Source organism: Homo sapiens, chromosome 5, assembly GCF_000001405.40.
Source record: "Homo sapiens chromosome 5, GRCh38.p14 Primary Assembly".
In the NCBI taxonomy this organism is placed as follows: domain Eukaryota; kingdom Metazoa; phylum Chordata; class Mammalia; order Primates; family Hominidae; genus Homo; species Homo sapiens.
In genome coordinates this window covers 57603924-57631155 of record NC_000005.10, presented here as the reverse complement: position 1 = coordinate 57631155, position 27232 = coordinate 57603924, and the positions used below count along the sequence as shown (strand labels likewise).

General features: G+C 37.3%; 2 long non-coding RNA genes across 2 annotated transcripts in view; one reads left to right on the top strand and one right to left on the bottom strand.

Annotated features, from left to right (window-relative positions):
• The first annotated feature begins 8507 nt into the window (after window positions 1–8507).
• LOC124901182 (uncharacterized) overlaps window positions 8508–27232 on the top strand; it is a 35965-nt gene continuing 17240 nt past the window's right edge. The window contains exon 1 of the long non-coding RNA XR_007059133.1: window positions 8508–8587. This is a non-coding gene — a long non-coding RNA (uncharacterized LOC124901182). The remainder of the gene's footprint in view (window positions 8588–27232) is intronic.
• The window catches only part of LNCBRM (lncRNA SMARCA2 (BRM) associated), a 47089-nt gene continuing 33582 nt past the window's right edge, over window positions 13726–27232 (bottom strand). Inside the window, exons 5-6 of the long non-coding RNA NR_120607.1 lie at window positions 16655–16979; window positions 13726–14431 (exon numbers count right to left, since the gene is read on the bottom strand). This is a non-coding gene — a long non-coding RNA (lncRNA SMARCA2 (BRM) associated). The remainder of the gene's footprint in view (window positions 14432–16654; window positions 16980–27232) is intronic.

The window sequence follows — 27232 nt, the reverse complement described above, 5'->3', positions numbered from 1 at the left end:
AAGTCAGTGTGGCAATTCCTCAGGAATCTAGAACTAGAAATACCATTTGACCCAGCCATCCCATTACTGGGTATATACCCAAAGGATTATAAATCATGCTGCTATAAAGACACATGCACACGTATGTTTATTGCAGCACTATTCACAATAGCAAAGACTTGGAACCAACCCAAATGTCCAAAAATGATAGACTGGATTAAGAAAATGTGGCACATATACACCATGGAATACTATGCAGCCATAAAAAATGATGAGTTCATGTCCTTTGTGGGGACATCGGTGAAGCTGGAAACCATCATTCTCAGCAAACTATTGCAAGGAAAGAAAACCAAACACCGCATGTTCTCACTCATAGGTGGGAATTGAACAATGAGAACACATGGACACAGGAAGGGGAACATCACCCACTAGGGACTGTTGTGAGGTGGGGGGAGGGGGAAGGATAGCATTAGGAGATATACCTAATGCTAAATGACAAGTTAATGGGTGCAGCACACCAACATGGCACATGTATACATATGTAACAAACCTGCATGTTGTGCACATGTACCCTAAAACTTAAAGTATAATAATAATAATAATAATAATAATAATAATAATAAAAACTAAAATAAAAGAAAATAAAACCACTACACAACCTTTTGGACTTCTAAATTATATGGCCCTACACTTTCCATTTTTTCTTAAACTAAATTAGACTGGATTTCTGCCACTTGCTGTTAACCCTCAAGGACTTGGCAGTATGACACTCACTCCTTCAGCTTTGAACTTGACTCTGCATTTTACTAAGTGGAGCCTCCTCCAGAGGCTGAGATGCCACCTGATATTCCTGTTCCTTTGTTTTCCTTTGCCAAAACCCCAATGCTGATAATGCCCAGAGGTCAGTCCCTCATAACTACACTCCAGCTTCCCTGAATGACTACTACCTATCTGGTAGTAGTACTTGGAAGTCAAAGATCTGCTATTCAATGTTCCTAGCACCTGGTTTGGGGATTTCTTTGTGCTGCCTGCTTGCCCATTATCCATTTGTATATTCTCATGTTCTCCCTTTCTACCTACTTGGACTCCTCACAGCAGCAAGGTCTGTGATTGTGATTCCCTGCTGTCTTGCCAGCACCTGCCTGTTCCCCAAGCAATGATTATTTTCAGATCATAGTCATAAAATTCTTGCTCATCTCTCCGCAGTTAACTCTTCCATACCTGTTTGATATATCACATATATTCTGTAATTCTCTTCATAAGAAATTTATGTAACTTTACATCATAAAACCTTGACTTAAGAAGAAAGTGACAAACCACCTTGAAATTATTGATTGGTCCCACTGCTAAAGAGTTGCAATGCTAAAAATATCTAGTAGCAAATGCAAGTACATGGCTACATGATTTTTAAATTTAGAAGTATTATGAGTAGCAACCAGAATACAATATAAAAAAGGACATGAATCGAAAGGTGTTAAGGCTAAAGCACTAAACGTTATCAAGTCCAGTGGTTTTCAGTCTCAGATCAATAAATGTCACAACAGTGATTATGAGCTAATTTCAATTTTTTTTGAAGAATGGAAATATTTACTTACAGTGAAGATATCAGACTAACTAAAATGTCAGGATATTTGCTTTGCATGAAATTTTATCAAATCTGTTTTATCACATACTGTAATTGTAATACAATAATACAGTGCTAGTTATCTATTTGTGATCAGAAGTTTTAACTAGTTATACATGATAGCTGGTTTATACTTGTTAACATAATCATATGTCAGGAGATCTCAGAACCCAAACTGCATATATCTGGTATAGAAATGATCCTGAAATGAAAAAGAGCAGAAGTTAATTATCAGTAGCAGTCAGCCGTTCTAACATATGTCGGCATTTGAACTTCATTTCTCGGATCCCTTATTATTATAGCCAATAAGCCATAATTAACAAGCCTTTAAAATCTGAACCAACATTAAAATGAAAAAACATTGATGGCACAGATAAAATTAATATATTGTTTCATGATGAATGTAGTACATTAAGATGATTAAAAAATTTTAAACATGGGCTCAATGAGAGAAAATTAATAGAAGGTATTGCTGGCGATGAATTGGTTGAAAAACCTTACCTAGTTTAATACATTTCTTTCATTCACAGGGGAACTGGTATTTTCATAGAGGAGTAGTAAATTGCTTAGATTTATGCAAGTAAGTGGCAGAGCTAGAAACCAGCTCTTACTCAAGGTATGTACCTCTCAACCATGTTATATCTTCTTTGACAACATAGAAATATGGTGTGTGCAGCCACATTCTAAATGTTCTGACTTTCTAACTCATATAAATCCAGCTGCCTGCTTCATTTGAAATTCACACAGGATCTCAAACTTAATAGACTTGAAACTTAACTCAGCCCCCAAGCTTACTTCTTGCCCATTTTCCTCAAGTCATTAAATAAGCATTCCCTAGATTCTCAAGACAGAAATTTGACGGTTCAGAATGATTTATTCCCCTGCTTTAATACTAATATTCAATCACTGACAAGTCCTAACATTTCTTCCCCCAAAACATATTTTGATTCCATCTGCTTCTCTCCATCTTCGCTCCCACCACAATAACTCAGGTAACTAACAGCTCCTGTCTAGGAGACCACCACAGCATCCTACCTGGTTTCCATTCTTCTCCCTTCCCACCTCTACCACCCATCTATTTTCCTTACAGTAGAGTGGTCTTTAAAATATGAACCTGGGAATACAACTTCCTTGCTTAAAAATCTTTGAGTATCACCTTTTTACACCTTGGTTTCTTGTGCGCTACTGACACTTTAGACCAGCTAATTCTTTGCTGTTGGGGGTGGCTATCCTGTGCATTGGAAGATACTTAGCAGCATCCCCGGTTTCTCATCACCAGATGCCAGTAGCATCCCCACATAAACAGTGGCGAAAATAAAAAATGTCTCAGGCCTGGACAAATGTCCCATGCAGGGCAAAATCACCCCTGGTTGAGGACCACAGGTTTTCTCATATGACAAATTTAAACTTTCACATTTAAAGTCCTTTTAACTGCTACTGACTACAAACCTCTAAGGAAGATCTCAAAAAATACTAGTTGAAGTCCAGTCAAATGACTGAATTGGCCAGTAAAGAGAAAACTGTCTATCTATAGACTAAAAAAATATGTCAACAAGAGTTATTGACAAATTCAACATGACTCAATCTAAAGCTGTGGTTAAGGACAAAGGAGGTAAAAGTCGTCAATGCCACATTAACAAAGCAAGCAGAAGAACAGCTCTCAGTGTACATCTCATTAGGAAGAAACAGAGAGACCTTTCTCAGGATGACCTTCAATCTTCTCATGCTAAGTCCTTTAAATGTTTCTCAAAGTTTCCTCAGACACCCTTCTCATTATACTCAGGCCCTAGGTTGCCTCGTTTACTTCAATACTCTCAATAACTATCTAGTGCTGATTAATCTCAATTTCATATTTTCAGCTCAGATCTCTTTCCTGAACTGAAAGTATATGGCTACACTTTCCAGCTGGGCACCCCACTTGTATAGATGCCTCAGATCCACATATCTAGGACAACACTCAAGCCAGAGGCATTTTCAAATTTAAGTCATAATAGCAAAGAAATTGGGGTGGAGCTGTGCTAAGATCATAGTGGTAACCATGCAGGAGGAGATAAGTGAGATTTTATAAACCCAATGTCCATGAACATCAGAGTATATTCATGACCTGCCTTCATAATTTCATGGGTTCATAATGCATGGGTGATTGGCCTGATAATAAAGACCAGATATGAAATGGACAAGAATCATGTTTAGAAAGGTTGAAGTTATCCTTGAGTGAAAAGCTTTCCATTTCATTTATTTAAAGAAAAAAAAAATCAGGAAATGGACCTTAAAAAATTATACATAAAAACAAATGGTACATTTTAACATATTTGTTATCAAACACATCATATTCCCACTTATGGCTCCAGGTAGTTAATAACTTTGCATGTAGTGATGCCAAGTCCCATTCAAGTCCCATTCAAGTCAGACCACCCATTCTCACCCAAAGACAGTGTAGTCTTAGACCTCTGCTCTGACAACATGTATTTCTTGCCAAGTGGGCCCTGTATTCACGTTCTAGTATATCTTGGCCTTGGCACCTGGATTGGTGGGAGCTATAATGAGAAGCAGTGTGTCCTGACATTAATATACCCTGAAGCAGTCTGTTCCAAATGAGGCAGCTCTGCAAGGCCCAGTGACCATCACAGAAAGTGCTGACACAGGATTTTCTTTAAAATTGGCCCAAGCAGTAATATAAGTCATTCCCAGAGGAGTTGGCTGTGTGGTTTACATTGGCTTCCATAGCATTCCTGTGATACCCAGGTTCTATTTCATCAGCAGTGGAGCTGTGGTGGCAAAATTCTAACAGATTGTCTTCTGAAAAAAAGCCTCTATTTTACTGCTTAAGAGAAATGCTTTGAAAAATTACAATGCATTTTTCACCAATCTCCTTTGAGTTCTATATTTTCACAACTTAGTACAAGTAATGCATAGCCAATATTAAATGCTTATGATGCCTTTTGTTGTTTCAGAATGCTACAAAGCTGCGCTGTAAACAGTTTGGAAACTATTATTGCAACTACTGCCTTATGTTAGGCAGAGAAGTTAAATGACTTGACAAGTTTACCCAGCCAGTTAGTAGAAGAGCTAGAATTAGCTGTCTGTCTTCTGTCTTCCAGTTCCTCTGATATTTTTAGTAGACTTTGCATATGGAATATTTAGTGTGACTGAATGTCCAGGTAGAGGTATCCAGGACTGGACTTTGGAAAGGAGGGAGGGTTTAGAGTTACCCAATCGAGATTTACATTGAGTGAAGAGTGGAATCCACGTTGGCAGGTCAGATTGCCAAAGAGAGAAAGATAAGAGTTATGAAGAATAGTAATCATATCATAATTCCAAATATACAACAAATAATGATTGAGCCACTGAAAAAAATTAATTCGATAACATAAGCTGAGGTGAAGCAGTACAGCATTTTAGAGTATAAAAGTGATTCTATCGGTTTCATATTTACTCAGCTCATTCAATCACCATCTATGTGGTGTCTACTAGCACCAAGTTATGTGCTAAGGATATAAAGATGAATAGAAACTTCTGATGTCAAGATAATCACCACCCACTGGGAAAGCAAATAAACAATAAATTATTAGGCCATAATAAAACTATATTTAAAGTGTTATAAGAGCACAGAAGATAGTACTCACCTCTGCCTAAGGTAAAGTTCTCATAAGCACAGGATTCCAAAGCAGAACAAAGCTGACAAAATTTTTAATGCAGCATGTAGCAGTAATTTGGTGAGCACCTCATCAAATGTTGTACAACAGATTAATTATTCCGAGCGGACTGGAATAATTCTCTTAAAGTGGCATAACAGTAGCATTAATGTCCTTCCTTTTTTCACTTCGTCACATTGTTTCGCTCTGCCTCTGTGCAGAAATGAAATTAGGGTCACCATGCCTTTGAAATATAGCCTCTGCTCTCACTAATGCTAGAGCTGTCAAAATGAGGAATAAGAACTATCACTCCCATGTCTGATTCCTAAATAACGATATTTTCTTTAAGACAGGAAAAAAACAGTTACACGTATTCCTAATCCATAGTCTAAAATACTATCTAGCATAAAGCTATATCAAATAAATAAAAAGATGTGTTTGAAGTTTCATCTAACATCTAGTCAACTGGCTTTTGTGAAGAGTATCTGGTTATCACCCTTCCTTCTAGCTACACCATACTTTATGCTACTATGTCCTTTTGGCTCTGTATCCAGGAAGAATACAGAGACCAGAAACAATAGGGTTCAATAAGAGGAGGAGTATAACCTAAGGGTCCATAGTGCAATGTTTGGAAATGTACCCTTGCCCTCTGGAACTTTAACATGAACCCTATCTCCATTCCATTTGTGCTCCTCTCTAAGTGCCTTCTCACCCTTAATGTCAGCAATCCTCAAACAACCCTGAGAAGCTGGTATTATTAGACTCACTTGTAGATATATAAACTAAGGTCTAATCTAATGTTAGACAGCAAATTAGTAACAAAACCAGGTCTGAAAGTCAGGAGTTTCTTTCTTACTAGCTCAGAAATCTGTCCTCTATATCAGCAGTTGGCAAACTTTGGCTATAGAAAGCCAGGTGAAAAATATTTTAGGCTTTGTGGGCCAAACCGTCTCTGTCTAGGACTGACAGATTTAGCAAAGACAAATGCAACACACCTAGTTACATTTGAACTTCAAATAAGCAACAAATTTTTTTTAGTGTACGTCCCATGCAATATTTTTGTTTATCTGAAATTCAAATTTAACTAGATTTCTTGTATTCTATCCGGCAACCCTATCTCTGTCACAATCACTCAACTCTGCCATTGTGCACAAAAGCAGCCACAGACAATACATAAATGAGCAAGTTTGACTGTATGCAAATAAAATGTTGACAAAAACAGACAGCAGGGCTTATTTGGCTGGTGGGGGGTCATGGTTTGCTAACATCTACTCCATGTCATTGGCTTTGTCTTTACTAAGAGTTGACCTGCATAAAGGAATAAAACATCAAACTTATGTTATCATTGTATTTGATTTATAGATCATTTAACAAGTATAAACTTTCAATGCCATATCTTTCACTGAAGGTACAACTCACTCAATTTATAATTATAATGGTAAAACACTTCAGAGTTCCTTGAGTGTCCTCATTTTGCACATTCTAGAATTGACACTCAGAGGCATGGGAAGACTTACTCAAGGTCACACACAACTTAGTTGCAAAAAAAAGTCCCCTGTTTGGAGATAGCCAGTCACTTAAGTGTTAAAGAATATTACTGTCACTGGATACTGCTTAGGGGATGGGTGTACCAAAATCTCAGAAATCACCATTAAATAACTCATTCATGTAACCAAACACGACCTGTTCCCCGAAAACCTACGGAAATTAAAAAAAGAAAGAAAGAAAAACCCCACTGAGATCTCTGTGACTATAATATGTTGCCTAGGCTTTATAGAACCATTATTCCTCATCCCCCAAAATTTCAAGCATAAAAAATAGGCACGTAAAAAATTAGGAGGTACGTTGTTCAGTTTCCTCCTCTCCGAAGTCAATTTTGGGTGTGCTGCCCTTCTGCTCAGTGTCCTCATGGCCTCTGCCCCCACTGCCTCCACTGTGAACGCCCACTCCCAGGGAGGATGCTTCACAGTGGTGCATAGGAGGTGTTGGAGTCCAAATATGGATAAAGTGTCCAATCACAAAATATTTTTTCAGCTAAGATCACAACTAAGGAGTCATTCTTTTGAGCAATTAAATTGGAATTTAACCTATTTCATCACTGTAAGAGCACATCAGACACAGAAGGCTGATTAAAGAATCAGAACATAAACAGCATCAGCTAGAGAAAATAGGTGTAATAAACAGCCACTATTCCACTATTTGGGGGAGCAACAATAAAGACTGCTCATAGACAGACTTTTCAAGGAAGTTTGTAGAAACAGGTTCCAAGATTTCTGGAAATAGTAATAGTGCCCCGAAACAACAAAGTCACTTCCCAGGACAAGCGTGTGTCAACAGCAGTGTGGGACACACAAAAGAAGACCAGAGGAATCTGGGGAAAGACCAATGAGAAGCAGAATAAAAGCAACTCTCACAGGTAATAGCAAGTCGTGAGTTTATTAACAAGGAGAAATTTGAGATTTTTATACAGAGACGCTGTTGTAAACCACAGTTAGTGCTATATCTGTATACCTGAGTTCTCTCAAGAGTAATGCATATGTGTATATGTTAATATATTCTCATTTAAGACATGTTAAGTCATTCTCAACTAACCCTTTCGATGCCTTCAGATGTCCCAAGTTAAAAGAGCTCATCCCGCTGCTGCTTTATAGAAAGGTGAACTGTGTGTGGATCCTACGTAACAATTACAGCCAAAATTATTGCTGCTCAGAAATGACAAAATCAGCAGTACCTTTACAAAATTTACAAACTTGATTAACATACAGAACTATATCTTTCCTTCAATGTATTTGATATTATAAACAACATGGCACTATAAATATGCTTAATATATTTTATGGATTAGAAGTGTCATTTTGCATTTGATTTTAATTTCCCTTTTTTCTTCCTGTGCAATAGCCTCATTTCATTTTGTCTTCCCAGCATCTAAGCACTCTTCATATTCAGAGAGAATTCCAAGATGGATGGCAGGCACTTTCCACTGCTGATGCCAAAGGGGAACTAACACTCTCTCCCCAACCCTTTAAAGGGGCGATTTCAGCCCACCCAAACAGATACTCCGAAGATTTTTAGTGTTAAGAATGAGACGCAAAGGTGCACGACCTGTCTTCCAGTGAATTCCACAGAGATGAGAGCCCAGTGCTGTGGAGCAAGTATGGGCAATAGACTCCAAAGGTAAGCTGAAGAGAGCCCAGCAACAGCGGTGTCAACAAAAGAGATTCTAACATACAGTATTCTATCTCAAGTTTTTGTCTTCTGTGGTTCAGGTCCAGCTTGGATTCTCCAAACTCCTCATCGATTCTTTAAGCCACCTTAAATCCTTCAATTAATATTGATTCTGCTTAATCAGGTATAGATAGATCCCATTTTTGTAACCCTAAACCTCAACTGTTAAGCCTGAGATCAAATAGTGGTGAGCAACATATAGCTTTAAGAAAAAAAAAAAGCTTCAAGTAATTAGTATGCGCACACACACACACACTTATGACAGATGATTATTACTCAATATTTCACCATTATAGTACTAACAGAATTGAGGTTAAAAAGAGCAGTTAATGCCTGATTCAAGGGTAGAACTCCTAGCAGGAATGACCACACTTTTTACAGGTAAATCCTCCCCTCAGATTTGCCACTCATTATTGAAACTATAATCCTTCTAGCAATTAATAAGAATTTGTTAATGTTTAACACTGTGTTAGGTATTCCATAAGATATGTATGACTGCAAAACAACTTGTAATCCAAATGGGAAAACAAGAAAAACACAAACCAAGTAATGATAAGTTGTAAAATAAGATGACCTATACTCAAGTTTTAATACAGACTATAGCTTTCAAAGAAGAGTTGTTTGAGAAGTCTTCATGGGGAAAGTGAGTCTAAGCTAGACTTTACGAAGATGTGTAGGCTTTAGGAAGGTGGAGAAAAAAGCAGAGATTAAGTTAAGAATCTATGGCAGGATTAGAAGGGGATCAGTAACAAAGGCATTATTTTCATTCTCTTTCGGTTGAACATCACTTCTGCCTCTTGTCCTGGCCCGTACAAGTGAGAGATGGCCATATGAAACATGAGAAAGGAGGTGGCATGCTTTCCTGGCTCTCTCCTCTCCTTTCAATCTCATACCCTGCCCTACTCACGTGTCTTCATGCCTACTTCTACCCAAGTCTTTCCCTCTAGGGGAGTGCCATACCATCTGTTTTTCTTTTTCCTTTTGCTTTTTTTCCCCCCAGAAAATCTGTATGAATATATTGTTGGTCAGTTGTCACATCAGACTTCAATGATCTGGCTCCTGCCCTTCTTTCTAAACTTGAGAGAGTTCTGTGACAGACATAAATCCTCATTGCATCTATTGGGCAGGTTTATATCTGGACCATTCATTTGTGGTGATGTTGTCTGAGGAAACCTACCTTTGTGTAAGGGTCTGTTATACAAGTTTCCACCTTTTGTGGATCCAGTATTGGCTTTCTATGACCCTTGTAGCCTTTTATAACTCAAGCTCTAGGTTATAAAAGTCTGGCTGATAGCCCAGGGGAAATGCCAGTTTTAGGTTTTGCCAACTATCTCTGTTCGAGTTCATTCATTTCTTACAGTCTCAACTATATATATTTTGAACTTTTTTTTTTGTAGTTTTAAATGTTCTATACCGAAAGAATTTCTCAGTACATCTATAGCCATTTGGACAGGGGAAAGGCATATCTAAATACTTCCCTTTTTATTCTTTTTAATGTGTTTTCACTTTAAAGTATTTCAAACATAGAAAAATATATATGGAAAATATAACAGATCTGTGTGCCCAATGTTCAGATTTACTAGGTATAAATATTTTGTCACAATTCCTTCAGACTTTTTATACACACACAAATACATACTCCGCTCTCTCCTTCCTTCAGTCCTAGAGGTAACCATCATCTTGGGGTTAGTGTGTATAATTCCATGCTTGTTTTGGTGCCTTACCTAACATATATGCAATATATAATATTGCTGAGGTATCAAGTTTAAAACTTAATATATTGTGAGCACACAACTGATATTTTCAATCAATAGTATATTTTTGAGATTTGTCCAATTTAACACATGTAGATCTAGTACAGTCATTTAAATTGCTCTATTGCATTTTATTATATAACTAAATCATAATGTATGTATTTGTTTATGGATAGATATGGAGGCCAATCATACTATTATGAATGGCATTGCAATGAACATCCTCGTTCAACTCTTCTAGTGGACATGTCTGAGCCAGGCTCAGAGACACCTATATATATGAGGGGAATTTCCAGATGTGATGTGGAGTGTACATCTTGAACTTTACTGACAATTGCCAAATTGCATTCCTCAGTAGTTCTTGATCATTACACTCCTGTCCACAATGTGTAAGAGTTCCACTTTGCCGTAGTTTTCACCTACACATAGAGTCATCAGATGTTTGGGTTTTTTCCAATTCCATCAGTATAAAATAAATCTCATTGCTTTAATTTGCTTTTATGTTTACTAGTGAGGTCGCTCTTCAAATGTTAATTGGCTATTTCAGTTTATTCCTCTGTGAACTGCCCGTCTTGGGGATTTTCTTATTTTTCACTCGAGTTGACTATGTTTTCTACAATGACTTTAAAGTTTCTTTTCACATTCTGAAAACCAACTCTTAGTTATATGCTCTGCACATGTATTCTCCCATCTGAGGCTTGCATTTTGGCTTTGCAGTGTCTGTTTACTTGTGACGTCTACTCTCATTTAGAAGTTTATACAAATAGTCAAATTTATTAGTGTTTTCTTTTAGTTTGTTGTGACATCTTTAAAAAATCTATCCCTGTTCTGGTATCATCCAGAGATGCTTCAATATTTCTTCTAAAGTTTCACAGTTTGTGTTTCACACTTAGGTCTTTAAACCACCTGAAATTTGTTTTTGTGTGTGAGATGAGATGGAGACCTAATTGTATCCTTTTCCATCACTTTGGATAACTGTTTCAGCACTCTTGATTGAATAGTCCTTTTCTCCTCTGAAATGTAATGTCCTCCATTATATACCAAGTTTCCACATATATATGGGAATGTTTCTATGAGTGCTTCTGTTTTTTGTTTTTTTTTTGTTTTTGATTGGTTAGCTTGTTTGGTTATTTGTTCATTAGATCTTTTTTTCCCCTTTCCTGCACTAATACCATACAAGCTTCTTTGATGATGAAAGCACTATAAGAAGTCAATATAAGGCCCCACTTGTATTTTCTAATTTGTCTGTGCTATTCTCAGACTTTATACATTTCCCGTTTCCACGTTTCTGCATGTGCTCTTCCTTCTGCTTAGAATCCCTTTTCTATCATTCTCCATAATTCCAAATTTGACTCATTCTCTCAGGACAAAGGCCAGCTTCTCCAAAAAGCCTCCCCTGATTGACCTTAAGTTGAAGTGAGTCCTCTCTTTTCTAAACTACCCTGTAACTTAATTTGTATTTTGCTTTCACTTTTTTGTTTTTCAACTCTAGTATATAGCTCTTGGAGAGCAAGATTCATGTTTAACTAATCATCAACTCCTTGAAATTGCTACAGTGCCTCTATACAAAAGCTACTCTATAAATATTGATTTATGCTTCAATACTAAAAGTTTTCTGTAATTAAATTTTTATCATATAGTAATGCAGCAAAATCGTCAGGGTACTTTAACATTTGTAAACCCTTTTCTATTTGCATGTAGTGGGCATTTTCGCCTAACTCACCTTTCATTTCCTCTTTCTCCTTTTTAACTATATTTGGTTCAAGTATGTAACTAACCCCTAAACAGCTTGTGATGCCAAGGAAGCTGGCTCCATTCGCAGCTTCAAGAGAGAGACCTCAAATATTCCAAACCAACCAATGCACAGCTTTCTCTGATAACTGCTACTGGTCTAGGAGTGGGCATAAGACCAAGTTGACTCAATCAGACAGAACAGAAAGACTGTAATTTCATAGTGGAGAATGGTTTATCATAGTTTCATTCTCTTTTCCTCTCTCCCCCCTACACACTGCACATGAACAATGAAACATATAGCAATAGCAATAGTTATCTATTGCTGTATAACAAATCAGCCCAAAACTCAGCGGGCTGAAAAGAGCAATTATTTATCATCTCTTAGAGTGTCTGTGAGTCAAGAATTCAGCAGAGCATAGGAGGGATGCCTTGCCTCTTCTCTACAATATCTGAGACCTCAACTGGGAGACTCCAAGGCTGGGAGTTGGACTTAGTAGAAAGCTTATTCACTCTGGTGGTTGATGCTGGCTATCAACTAAAACTTACTGAAGCTGTTGGTTTGAACACCTACATGTAGCCTCTCCACGCAGCCTGGGTTTTCCCCAGGTGGCTGGGTTCCAAAGGCCAGCATCCCCCCAAAAAGTCATCTTACATCATTGATGAGACAGGCCAAAAACCAAGTGGACTCAGAAAAGCAGAACAGAATGATGGTGTTAACGTGGTCTTGATCACACAGTTAACCTGTGAATCAACCAACATTAATGGCTATCCGTACTGCTGCACTTTCTATATGGGACAATACATTTAAAATAATTTGAGTTGGACTTTCTATTACCTGTGTTCAAAACCATCTTAATTAATGTACTGCATTTCAACTATCAATAACAGGCTAATAGAAGAAACTATTAGGAATGGGGGACCATAAATCATACCACCACATATTCTGCAAGAAAGCAGCTGCATCCTGCATTCAAATGTCTGAGGGCTATCGATTCTGTATATGCCATCTCGTCTTTTTTTCATCTTATTTTTAGTGATATATACCTATACAGTACAGTTAAATTTCCACTGCAATAAGCAAAATTCTAGTTAAAAGTTCTTATGATGCTATCAGGAGCTTCATATCCAGAAACAATTAAGTCCTATTGTGCCCTGAAGCCTGGTAACTTTGTAATTTTGTTGATGATATTCCTTCTGGATACTGAATCTATGCATTATTCAGTTAAACTGATTAGAGAAAAAGCACTACATTGTCCCTATTTTGATTATCTATACTACTATTTTAATTTTCAATCCAGGTCATTATTAAGTAGCTAGAAACAAATTGTAATGCTAAGAATTTGTATCATTATTTGCAGTGTTCATGTATTTTCAAGGATGCAGAATTTGTTCAATCTGGTTTCATCCTAAAATTTTATATATCTAGCTTTAGAACTAAGTAATAATTTGGGGGGGGGAATGAGGTGTTTTCTATAAGTTGAAATGAGCACAGAGCTAAAATATTAATATTTTTGTTACATGATGCTCATATACATTTGAAATGGCTTTTCTTTTTAAAAGGCAATTTGTAGATGATTGGGACATTATATTCACAGATGATGCCACTCGATCCTTTTTTGAGTTTTTCAAGTTGTTTTACTGGAGACCTGTGAATCAGCATGCAGTGTATTGAAGATTATTCAAATTCAGAAACCAAATCTCTTGAGTTTAAAGAAACAAATGACAAAGCAAGCTGAAAATTCTTAAAATGACTCAAAGTGTCAGGATGAAAATCTTTTTCCTTCTCTCCATTTTTTATTATATCATAATAATTAATAACATGTTGTATTTTCCCTTTTTAAAACAGAGAAAATACACAATGCCAAATAATCAGGCTTATCTCTAATGAGCAACCAAATACAAAAACATAAGAAGCCAAATCAATCCCCTGGAAGAAGATGGAGCAGGAGAACTATCAAGAAACACCTTCAATTTCTTAGGACTCAATATAGGTGAACTGTAGGTGAAATGCCATTGAAATGCTCTGAATAAACCTGCAAAATGAACTGTACAACTAATCTCATCTGGGAAATATGAAACCTAGTGGTCCCAGTCATCTAGACATTGGGGTATATGATTCAAAAATAAATAAAAAGAAATGAGTAGATAATAAACATCCTTGAAATAAAAAAGAATGGAGTTTCAAAAGAAGCGGTTACAGAAGAAAAATGTTTTTTGGCAGCATGTTCTTCACAAAACAATCCAGAAAGAACAAAAGCTCCAATTATGAATTGAGGTTTGTTTTTTCTGCAGCAGCCTTTTTTCTCTCTTCAAAGCAGACCCTCTACCCGCACTTGTGTGGCTGTTGCTGAAGATGTTTTTATTGCATAGTGCAATAAATAGTTATATAATATGTTTATTTTTCCATTTCAGTGACTTCTCTCCTCTTTTTTTCTTGAAAATGTCTTTAAGTCATTTTGCTCTCCTTCTTTCTTTTTTCTCTGGAAAGAAAAAATATAACCAGAAAAAAAAAACATAAACATCCTGAATACAGTGCTTAATGCCTGGTAGAAATAAGGCAGAACAAAACAAAATATGTGACTGAAAAGTCAGACAACCTGACTGAGGGAATGCTAGTCTACTGAGCAATGCTATGAAGGAAAATAAAAAAAACAGCAGCCTTTGTGTTGATTGTTAAGAAAAGAGCTCCCAAAATAATAACTATGAATTTCTGGATAATTTTTAGAGTTGTCATCTGTTCTTTCTCTACTGATTGACATATCCACAAGCAGAATCTTTTGTTTTATAATTCTTTGTTTTCTCTCATATATTTTTCATGATGAACAGTTAAATAGCAAAAGAAAGGAGAAACAAAAGGTCTGTCACTAACAAGATGGTATTTTATACTGTAAAATCATTTTGAATTAGACTTAACAGCAAATCCTTAGGCTGACAAATTGTACTCATCTTAGGTACCTACCTTCTTCCCACTCTGTTACAGCCAGGGCCCCTTTTCTCCCACACATATATTTTATCTTCTGTTCTTTCTTGCCTGCAGGTCTTGGCTTATTCTATAGCCCAATCCAGAATGCTACTTCTCAAATCCCTGTTGAGATCTACCCTACAATGTTCCTTCGAATCTCAAATCTAAGCTTCTCTGCCTTAAGCAGGCTTCACCTACTAATTCTACTTCATAATGTAGATTCCTTTTCTTCTAAACAATATTATGTCTATGGCATACTAGACACAGTATCTGGACTAAAAAAATAGCTTTTATTATTATAACTTTGAATTTCTTCAGATGTTACTTTGGCAAATTTACTATCCATCCTAGAATATCATAAAGGTCACCTTCAAGTTAAATTCAAATTTCTCCTTATTTTTACAGTTCTTATCACTCTCTCCTAAGTAACACTTAATGAATTGAGTTATATATTTGGAGCTTCTTATAAATTTATTAAATCAATTCTATCAAGAAGATAGCCAAATAGTCAATTTATGTCCCAGTTCTATACTATTATAGGATATGTAACAATTACAAAAATGTGTCCAGTTGTGTTTACAGCTAAAGACTACATGGAACATAAGAAAGAAGTGAAATCAAATTTTCGAAGGATTTCTACCTACCCTACATCTCTGCAGTTGAATCAGTTGGATGTTTATTGCAGCTGCCTTCCTGTAGTGAATGATCTTTATAATTTGATTTTCCATCTAAATGAAAGAGCATCTCTACCTTCCATTGAATACAATTGTTTGCTTAAAGATCTAATGATTTCAGAAACAGATAGCTTTCATTCCTTTAATTCTCTTTGAATCTCAAAACCTTAAATAAGTTTTCTAAACTTGATTGTATAGTAGACAAGGTTATTTGGGGACAAATTAAGAAACATAGTCAGAGGCCCTTGTCTCTTTAAAATGCTTATAAAATATCTCCCTCCCAAACTCTCTTTTCCTGGAGAAAGGTGAACAACCTCTTGACTGGCTTCCTATTATTTTGATGTTGATAAAGAAACCATGCCTTCCCAGGCATAACAAAATAGGTCTGACAAATTTCTAGACTCATCAGCAAATGGCAAGGATGATAAATGAGATTAGAGTTGTCTGTGAAGCTGTTCTATCTTGGGTGTCTTGCTCTAAGTTTGGAAATGGTATGGTTCGTTTATTAACAAAGTGATTACTAGAAGCCTGAAATATGAATCTACCCTGTTAGACCTTCACCTAGGGTGAGAATTGTGTCTTCTTATACATTCATTCCCATCCATCTGCTCTGTTCTCTCAGTTCGTATCTTGACAGATGGCTGTAACTTACATTACAGATAACTTTTCATCAGATACCATCTAAGCTCCCATCTTACGCTCAACATATTTTTAAGTTAATGCTCTTCCCCTAATCTACATAAATAAACTAGTGTTTTCTCTTTCTCTTTCTTTCTCTCCTGCCCCCATTTCCTCCACACATACAATCTGATTTATACAAATAACTTCCTACTTATCTATAATTTCTATATCTATACCTATATCAAATATATTTACTCATAAAACATTTCCACAGAATTCTGAGCTCAAATTATTTCAAATAGCTGTGGATAATCAGGAGCAGACTCCAATAAATTGAGGCATGTCCCAAAATTTCTCTCTATCAAATTCCTGAAAAATCTCTAAAGTAAAGCATAAATATAATCCTACAGAAGTAATCTGACAGCACATTTTAACCTTCTACTTACCATTTACAACCCATGCAGGAGAACACTGCAGTATTCCTCTCTGATGGTCTGATTTCATAGAATCACAGAATCTTAGCACTTAGGAGAGACTCTGAGTATACTCCACCTTTCCCATATAAGAAAAAGACTATAATTCAAGTCAAATGACTTCTCAGGGTCAAAGAGCTGGTTAGTAACAGATTTTGGACTAGAATTCAAATCTTCTCACTTCAGCCCAATGCTCTTTCTACTATTTTGTTAAGTCGACAATATTCCAATCAAATAAGGAGTTAACTAAAACAAATTCAATTCTGCTTATGAATTCCTCTGAAACACAGCGTCATCCCTGGGAAAGAAAAAAAAATACATAGATATAAATAAACCCTAGTCACAATTGCCAAAAATGCACATAATGTAAGACATTGCCAAGGCTATTCATCCATGTTGAAAATATACAAACACACACACACCATAACAATCCCCTTCAAATCAAGTATCCCATCTTTAGAAAGAAGAGTGAGACAATTCTTGAGAAACTGCCAGGGCTCTGAAGTAGCCTGAGGTCATATATAACCCTGAAAACAAGGACTTGAACAAATGCCATGAGGTGATACCATCATAAATATCTTAGAGAAAAAAGGGTTGACATTTAGTACCTGGAAAAAGGCAAGGAGAATACCTAAGAATGACATGTGGTCTGTTAAAACAACACTCTCCCAATGCCTTACTCTTAAAACAGAGTCAAATTAAACCCAGTGTGTCTACCTTGTCTTCTGTTCCCCTGCCCATATCCTAGGATATAGAAATTTGCTCTCCATGGCCCTAGTAGGGGAGAAATCCTCTTCAGTGCTCTTTTGAAAAGAACGAAAGCATCATCCTCCTCATCAAGTGTTCAGGATCTTCCTGAAAACTTAGTCCCCTCATTTCTGTCATCAGAGAATCAGTCAAGTGGTGATATAGAAGAACTGATTTGTGCCATTTCCTCTCGTATCTGATAGCATGAAACTAGAATCTAGTAGAATCCAAGAGTGTCTGGCCTCATGTGATCTGGGGAAATATAAAATGTCTTCAAGTCACTTTTGAAGAAAAAGGAGGCTAAACTGGTTTATCTTTGAGATCTAAAGTCAATCCTTCCTTTTCCCCTTCTTCCCTCCCTCCTGCCCTCCTTCCATCCTTTCCTCCAAACTTTCCCTTCTTGCCTCCCCCACCTCCTCTTCCTTCCCTCCTGTCTTTCTTCTTTTCCCTCTCCTTTCTTCCTTTTATTTTTATCCCCTTTCGATTACAGGAAGCTCAATTTATAATTATGAATGGGCTACTTTATAAATATTCTCTTCAAAGAACAATATAGTTAACAGAGTGATTAACTTAAACACCAGAAATATCAGGTTCAGAATGGAAAAATGAATAAGATTTTACACAAACATAACTAGAGAGGACATTTTCTCATAGAAACTCATTCATAATGCCCCTACGACACCTCCTATACCCTCTCTGCCTTGCTCAGCTTCCCCTTCCAGCGGGGTCCCCTGGAGAAAAGTATTTTCTACTTTTGTGAACCAAACACCTCTTACACACAGCCATTAAGTGATACATTTCAGTAGTTTCTTCTAACTGCAGAGCAAAATGTAGACATGGGAGTATTAAGACAAGTGTTCCTCCTCTCAAAAAACAATTGTACTCAAAGGAGAAAAGATGCATAAATACCAGTCTTACTGGTTGTGAGATCAGCATTGTAAAAGAAGGCCATGCAAAGGACTGCGGAACCACAGAGGAAGGAGAGGGGCTTTTGTGTGAGAGATTTTGTGGGACATTCTAGAAGACAAGGGAAGACTTATAAACCCAAGGGACTAAAGTCTCTAATGACATAATTTATTCACTTGCAGGTGACAGGGACATAATTTTCAATGTGTGTTTGGTAGGGAGGGGTAGTCTTTCAAAATCTCTCAAATTCTTCTACATTAACATTTAACCTCCATGCCCACCCAGAAGACCAGCCTTAAATTCCACACCCAGAGGGGAATGCAGGTAGGATGCAGGGCCTGGCTCAGAGACACAAGTTTTAGCTTTAGACAGACAGATTTGAATGCCATCTTCTTCCGTCACTTGTTGCATAGGTAGACAAGTTGTTTAACATTTTGAACCTCGGCTTTCTAATTTGTAAAATGGGAAGGGACCAACTCATCTGGTTTTTTTGTTTGTTTGTTTTATAAGGTGTCAGAGATCTGGAACATAGCACACATTTACCAAATCACAGCAGGATTCACTAGATCACAGCAATTATTATAGTAATCCATAAGAATATTTGTTTTACACAAAACTGAGGCATATCTGAAGCATAACAATGAAGAAATAAAATCGTTTTTCACATATGGCTGGTAGAAATTCTGTGTATTTTCCAATGGCCAGAAAATATCCAGGCCTCCAGTGCTCTCTCTCTCTCCCTCTTTTTCTCTCACATATGCACACAATGCATCTTTTATGTTGAACCAGGTTCCCATTTCTCCATCTACAGAACTTGTAGCAGCCAGCAGGATTATCAAACTGCAAGAATAGTGTGTCTAAGAAGCAAGGCAGCTACCTTCTCTGGCATCTATGCCATTCTTAGAACATGATGTTCCTCAGACCGATTTATGAACCATCATCAAGGCAACCCAATTTTCTGACATCAACTCCTTAGAGATCCAAAATTTAAAAAAAAAAAAATCTGTCATCTTCTTCTTCTCCTGGCTCACTTAGAAGTCTCCTTCTGTGAATTCTAACCCCACTGCATTGCAGTATGAGAAGAGGGGGAAAAAATACATCAGTAGGAGACCCAAATAAACAGTTTTTAGCTAGCATATTTTTTCATATTATACTGTATAGATGAGCATTTTGAGTATTTTTGCCCTGACATTTCATTTTGTGGAGTAAGCAACATCTGAAAAATGTTTATGTATAAGAAAGCCTCTTTTTCATCTCCTGGAAAACCAAGTGAAGAATTTTAACTTATCCCATTTTATTTCAGTAGAAGCATTGAGGTAGAAAAGAAAAAGCCCTAGAGTGGAAACAAGAGCCCCTCCTACCATTCATAACTATGTGACCTTGAGACGTTCTCTCTGAGCTGCGGTTAGATTTATAAGACCTGCCATCCATATCCCCTTCCTGAGAAAAACTGCCTACCCACAGCCTCTTAGGACTAAATGACTACATTTGTACCATGTGACCTCAGCCTTACACTAAGCCACAGTGAAATTGATCAAGAATGTGTTTCTTTAAAAACAATATGGCAACCCATCCATAGGCCAGACTTAGATCTTTGGCCTGGTGGGAAAAGATAACCTGAGCCAATCAAATTCCATTCTTCAGAATTCAGCTCTGGGAAACACGGAGTTAAGGCAGCTGGCACTAGCAGCAGAATTTACAAAGGACATCAAGATGGTCATGTGGCAGACAGAAGTCCAAGAGAACACAGAAATGTAACGATAGCTGTGAACTCAATTGTGAGCTGTCCTGGTGTTATGTCCCAGGTTCTCCAGGCCTCTTGCCTTTCCAGAAAAAAAGATCAAAGGATGACGCTGAAAGGTGAGGTTTCATTTAGCATGATGGAAAGCATAGAAAGCTCTCTTAAGAGAGTCAAACACCTGAGGAAGGAGCCCATGCAAACTTCATAGACTGAATACAATTTTAGCATTGCTGTGATTACTCAGAACCATTTGCAGAGCTGAAATCGTTTTTCATGTATATAACACTATTATGAGTGTCCTTACTAGCTCTTTTCTGGCTGAATTATTCTCACTGCTTTAATGTTCCCTCTCAAATCTGTTTCCAATTCTGATTATTGTTATTCTCCAAGTTCAACGCCAGACCTTGGAATCTCATCAAAGTCAGCCTAACATTTTGCTTCATGTTATGCTTTTCAATGATAAATTGAGAGAATGGATAAAGAAATGTCAGGTCTCTAATGTCTCTAATATCACATAATATTACAACTTAAGGCCAGGCGAGGTGGCTCACACCTGTAATCCCAGCACTTTGGGAGGCCAAGGAGGGCGGATCACTTGAGGTCGGGAGTTCAAGACCAGCCTGACCAACATGGAGAAACCCTGTCTCTACTGAAAATACAAAATTAGCCAGGCATGGTGGCGCATGCCTGTAATCCCAGCTACTCAGGAGGCTAAGGCAGGAGAATTGCTTGAACCCGGGAGGCAGAGGTTGTGGTGAGCCGAGATCATGCCATTGCACTCCAGCCTGGGCAACAAGAGTGAAACTTCGTCTCAAAAAATAAATAAAAAATTTAAAAAATACTTCAACTGAAGATATGCTAATCAGCAATGTGATAACTGGGAGGGAACAAAGTAAACAGAAGAAAAAATATATATGTATGTCATTTGGGGCAGTGCTCATGTAAATAGTATTGTTTTTAATTTCAAATGTCACTTGTTAATTGCTGGTATATAGACAAGTGATTAAATTTTGTATATGAACTTTGTATCTGTTTTTGTCTCATATAGTTTGATACTCTGTTGTTAGCCACATACACATTAAGTATTGTTACTACATCTTCTTGGAGAATAGATCTGTTTATCATCATGTAATGCCTCTTTTTATTCCTGATAATTTCCTTGCTTTGAAGCCTGCTCTGTTCTGTCTGAAATTAATATAGCGACTCCTGCTTTCTTCTGGTTAGTATTAGCAGGGTATATTTTTCTCCACCATTTGCTTGTAATCTTTATATGTCTTTACGTGTCTTTATATTTATATGTCTTTATATTTATACGGATTTCTTTTAGACAAAATATTCTTGTCTTGTTTTTTATTCACTTTGACAATGTGTCTTTTTATTGATACATTTAGATCATCCATGCTCAAAATGACTATTAACATAGTTGGATTAATATGTCCCATATTTCTTACTGTTTCCTATTGGTTGCTCTTATTCTTTGTTCCTATTGTTTTTCATTCTATTTCTGTCTTATGTAGTTTTAATTGGGCATTTAATATGAGTCCATTTTCTCTCCTTTCTTAGCGTATCAATTACATCTCTTTTTTTTAGAGCAACCACTAAAAACAGGAGTTAAGAAGTATACATTTACTACTAATCAAAATCTACTTTTATTTAACACTATATCACTTTACAGGTAGTAGTAGTACCTTATAATAACAAAATAATTCTAATTCCTCCTTCCTATTTTTGTATCATTGCTCTCACTCATTTTGCTTATATATAAACATATGTACACATATAGGATGTATACATAAAAATACACAATTGATTACATTGTTGCTATTACTTTGATCTGTGAGACCGCTTAAATTAGGGAAAATAATAAGGTAAGTTTTTATTTTACCTTCACTCATTCCTTCTTCAATGCTCTTTATGAAAATCTGTGTTTCTAACCTATATTATTTTTCTTCTCTCTAAAAAATTTCTTTTAACGTTTCTGACAAGGTAAGTTTACTGAAAACAAACTTCCTCAATTTTTGTCTGAGAAAGTCTTTATTGCTTCTTCACTTTGAAGGATAATTTTAGAGAGTATAGAATTCTAGATTGGTGGTTTTCTTTCTCTCAACACTTTAAACGTTTCACTTCACTCTCTTGTTTGTATGGTTTCTGAGAAGTCAAACATAATCCTTATGTTTTCTCCTCTATAGGTAAGATTTTTTTTCCCTTTAGCTTCTTTCAGGATTTTTTTTAAATCTTTGGTTTTCTGAAGTTTGAATATCATATGCTTACATACAATTTGTTTTTATTTTTGTTTTCATTTGTCCTGCTTGGTGTTTTCTAACCTTCCTGGATTTTTGGTTTGGTGTCTTACATCAATTTGGAGAAATTCCTCATCATTATTATTTCAAATATTTCTTCCCTTCCTTTCTCTCTCTGTTCTCCTTCTGGTGTTCCCATTACATGCATTTACACCTTTTGTAGTTGTCCCATAGTCCTTGGATGTACTGTTCTGTTTTGTTTGTTTGTTTGTTTTCTTAGTCTTTTTTCTCTTTTTCAGTGTAGGGGGTTTCTACTGAGATATCCTTAAGCTTAGAAGTTCTCTCCTCAGCTGTGTCCAGTTTACCAATAAGCCCATCAAAGACATTCTTTATTTCTGTTATGATGTTTTTGATCTCTAGCATTTATTTTTTGTTCTTTCTTAGGATGATCATCTCTCTGGTCACATTGCCCATCTGTCCTTGCATGGTGTCTACTTTATTCATCCAAGCTCTTAGCATATTATTTATAGTTATCTTAAACTCCTGGTCTGATAATTCCAACATCCCTGCCATGACTGGTTCTTACTCTGTCTCTTATTTGTGTTTTTTGCCTTTTAGTTACCTTTGTCCTCTTTGATAGCTGGACATGATGTCATGGGTAAAAGAAATTGCCGTAAATAGCCCTTTAACAATGTGGTGGTAAAGTATAGTCTTTCACTGAGCCTCTGTCTCTAGACTGTTAACTTCGCAAGTGTTTCTCAGTCCCTGCTCTCTGCCTCCAAGATGTCTCGTTGCAGCATCCTCCTGAGGGGTTGAATGCTGTGTCATCACACAGTAGAAGGTAGAAGAGTGAAAGAGCTGAACACTGTGAAGCCTCTTTTATAAGGGCTTAATCCCATTAAAAGAAGGAACCCACATGGCCTAATCACCACTTAAAGGCCCCACCTCTTAGTATTATCACACTGGCCATTAAGTTTCGACATCTGAATTTTCAAGGAGACACATTCAAATTATAACAGGGTCTTCGATGAATGACAGATATTTGCTTATTCTAGCCAGCTCAAGTATATGGAGAAAAATGATGTGTAAGCTGAGGGTAAGCATTCAGATTGCTGCATAATTGCACCTGTACACCCTAAAGAAGCAGAACTCCTGTTTGTAGGTGGGTCCACAGAAAGATGAAAGTCCTTTCTTTTCAATGACAACCAACCTAACATCTAACAATAGCGACTAGTTCTGACAATCCAAAACAGAAGATGTAAAGAGTAGCTCAAAAGTACACAATTGTTAAGCTTATGGGGGAAAAACTCTTTTTTTCTTGTTTTATTTTAAAGAAAAGTATGTCCCAACTCCACTTCTGTACTCAGGAATAGGTCAGACCACATTTGTGTGAAAATAGGAATTGGCAATACAGACGAGACGTATTTCAGAAAGGTTCAGTATATAAATGTCAAATCAAATTAGGCTTGTACTTTCCCCTTCATTGAACCATAATTCAATGAGAGTTTTATTATGCAAATTCACTGGAAAGCACAGATCTCTACATCTCTGCCAAACACTCTGAGTACAACAATGGCAGTCCCATCGGTCTAGTAAGAAAATACTATATCTTGAGGACAGGAACTAAAGCCAATATAAAATTGTAATATGTTCATCTTGCTGAATATGGTGACATCTTGAAAGAACACACACTAAATAACACTTGGAGGTAGGACTGTTCTGTGCCAAGTTAACCAAAAGGAAAATGTGTCCTAAGCTTAGCTATAAAACATTCATTTCCCAAATAAGTATTGGACTCTACAGTTTTCAGTACACTTTGCTAACGCTTCTTTTGTTGCCTTTAAGCAAAGGGCATATTTTGTGTTTGTTTCTTTTTTCTAAGTATTACCATATGTATAATTCTTCTAGATTAACTACCAGTCTCATTACAAGTAGTTCAATGTATTATTCACATTTGTCAGACTATCTCAATTAATGGGATAAGGTGAGTCTCTAAAGATTTTCTTGTTCACACACACATGCACACACACAAATGACTAAGGAGATTAATGCTTAAGCAACCTCATGCAACCAATAAGTTAGCTGAGCAATTTCCCAGGAGCTCAGAGACATTTTGAAAAACTTAAATCCTCTAACTACCTATACAATGAACTCATTAACTTTATGAAATTGCAATAAAGCCCACTAATATTCCTTAAACATAGGCATTTACTACAATCTGCACTTCTGGTAAATGCTGTTCAAGAAATTCCTCCACAGCAGAAGGGCTGAAAAATCTTTATTTCTAGAAAATGTTAAAAGAGCCCTTTCAGAATGTGTAACTCCAAACCTAAAACATTTTATTTCCCTCTTAGACTAATATCGATTAAAGGGAGCTTAAGTTTAGTTCAGTCAATGTAATTCCTTCTACCAAATTATAAGAAAAAACCAAGTCCACATCTCTATTGCCAGTCTCATGTGACAACCCTAATTTGAGTCAAACAGCAGTCAGGGATCCTGCTAGGGCCACACCCTGAGCTATGCCTAGAGCATCACAGAATAAGAGCACCTCTGAGTGGTGAAGACTCAAATGTCACCTAGTCTCACCATCCTCCTTGTTGCCTGGAGCCCTCTTCAATAACCCCCAGTAGAAGATCATCCAGACTGTGCTGAAGAATTCCAGTGATGACACACTCACTGGCCATTCACACTATCCCTGGAAAATTCCGAATTCGTGAAAGTTTCCTATGTGTTCTTGCTATCTTAGACCTAGCAAAACATCTTCGCTATCTACGCATTACATTGCAGGGACATAGCAAAGCCTTCCACCGGCCTATGGCATCCTATATTTGCCCACTTCAACATACCTATTCTGGGCTAGGGGTCCATGTCTTCCCTAGTTTTCTGAGCCCCAGACCCAGCACCACAAGTCCCCATACCCACTTCAGGCCCAGTTTGCTCTGATGACTATTTAGACCTACTTCTCCCATACATCACTCAGCACGTGCTCAGTGACATAATTTGTTACCTGCTCTCTGGCTCCACATAGCTACAAGACTATAGGCAAGAGGTTCCCCCATCTTCTGCCAATTCCTCCTCATCCTGCCCTGACCAGGTCTCCCTCCAAGAAGCCAGAATCATAGAGAACTAACATTAAAACCCCCTAGAAACTTTGACTCACATCTCCCCCTTCTGTACTCTGAAGTCAAACAGAACAACTAAAATGTGGTTATAAGAAAGCAGATCAGAGTTTACCAAGAGTAGAGAATTTGTGGGCTTCTGTGGGCAAGCAGAGTTAGAGGTCAGAGCCCACCTAATATCTAAAGACCAAAGCCCAGGACAGAGAAAGGGAAAGGCTAGCTCCTGAAGGCTGTACTGACTCTTGGTGCAAGGCAAACCTCCTTGCCTTGGTCCTGAGTCAGCTCATCCAGTCTACTTTGGAATTTGCTCCCTCAGTAATTCTCTCTCCTACATCTTAGCTTCTCTTTGATGATCATGTGTGACCCCTTTCTCCCTCAGACCCCTGTAGAACCACCATCCCCAGATGGGCCAACTTTACTTTCTAAGTGTATTGTGAATTCTCTCCCCTCCAACTCTGCCACTACCGGCTTGGTCCAGCCACACATGGCTTCATGTTTCCCTTCTTGTCTCTGGTTTGTTAGCCTCAAAACCATCTAGTTAGAGAGACTCTTCTAAAATGCAAAGTTGGTCACGTTTGCTCCCACTCACCCTTTTCAGTGGTTCCCCACGGTCTTTAGCATAGAGTCAAAGGTCTTCCATAAGGCAGAAAAAGACTCCCTCCTCTGGCCTCAGTGGACCTTATCCACTTTACACCTCACCATTTTCTTTCATTCTCTGCCCCAAATAAAGAAAAGGTATGCTTTATTTCCTGCACACTCCAAGCTTGGGGCTTTGCCTCCATGCCTTTGTTCTTGCTATTCTCTCTGCCTAGAATGCCCTCGGCTCACTTCCCCACTTCTGACTTGAATATGTCATTTTCTTTTTCTTTTTTTTTTTTTTTTTGAGACGGAGTCTCGCTCTGTCGCCCAGGCTGGAGTGCAGTGGCACTATCTCGGCACACTGCCAGCTCCACCTCCTGGGTTCACGCCATTCTCCTGCCTCAGCCTCCCAAGTAGCTGGGACTACAGTCACCTGCCACCATGCCTGGCTAATTTTTTGTATTTTTAGTAGAGACTTTGTTTCACCATGTTAGCCAGGATGGTCTCGATCTCCTGACCTCGTGATCCACCTGCCTCAGCCTCCCAAAGTGCTGGGATTACAGGCATGAGCCACCGCGCCCAGCCGAATATGTCATGTTCATTCTCCAAAATTCAACCTAGACATTATCTACTCCAGGGAGTCTTTTCTAAATCCCTTAACACTAAAGAAGTCTGTGGGCACTTTATACTCTTTGCTTCTCCCTAACATTATCATACTCACCATGCTTGTCTACTTAGGTGCCTGCATGTTTCCTGAGTGCAAGGCATGTCTTAATCCCTCTCTGAAGCTTCAGTACCTGGGGCAGAGTCTGGCACACAGCAGCAGTATTATAAATGTTTGTGCAATGAATGCCACGACAAGTTTTTAAAAGGCAAAACATACCTTGACTGTGAAACCATTTATACTGGTTTGTTAAGCAGTAAATAGTATTTATATATAGAATAATAATGATAATATGTAGTATATAATAGTATAATCACATTTATATAAGTAATAGTATTTGTTAAATAGTATAAATGGTTTCACAGTCAAGGAAATCAGAAAGTTTCTAGATAAGTTCTATAATGATTGAATTGATGATTTGGAATAAGCATGAAATCCTTGTGGGGATGATTAGCAAAACCTGTAGCTAATAATTTCACATCAGTTACAGAATAGAAGGTGGCTTGTATTGAATGGAGGGTGTATTACACTTAGGTCAGAGTACTTTAGGGAAGC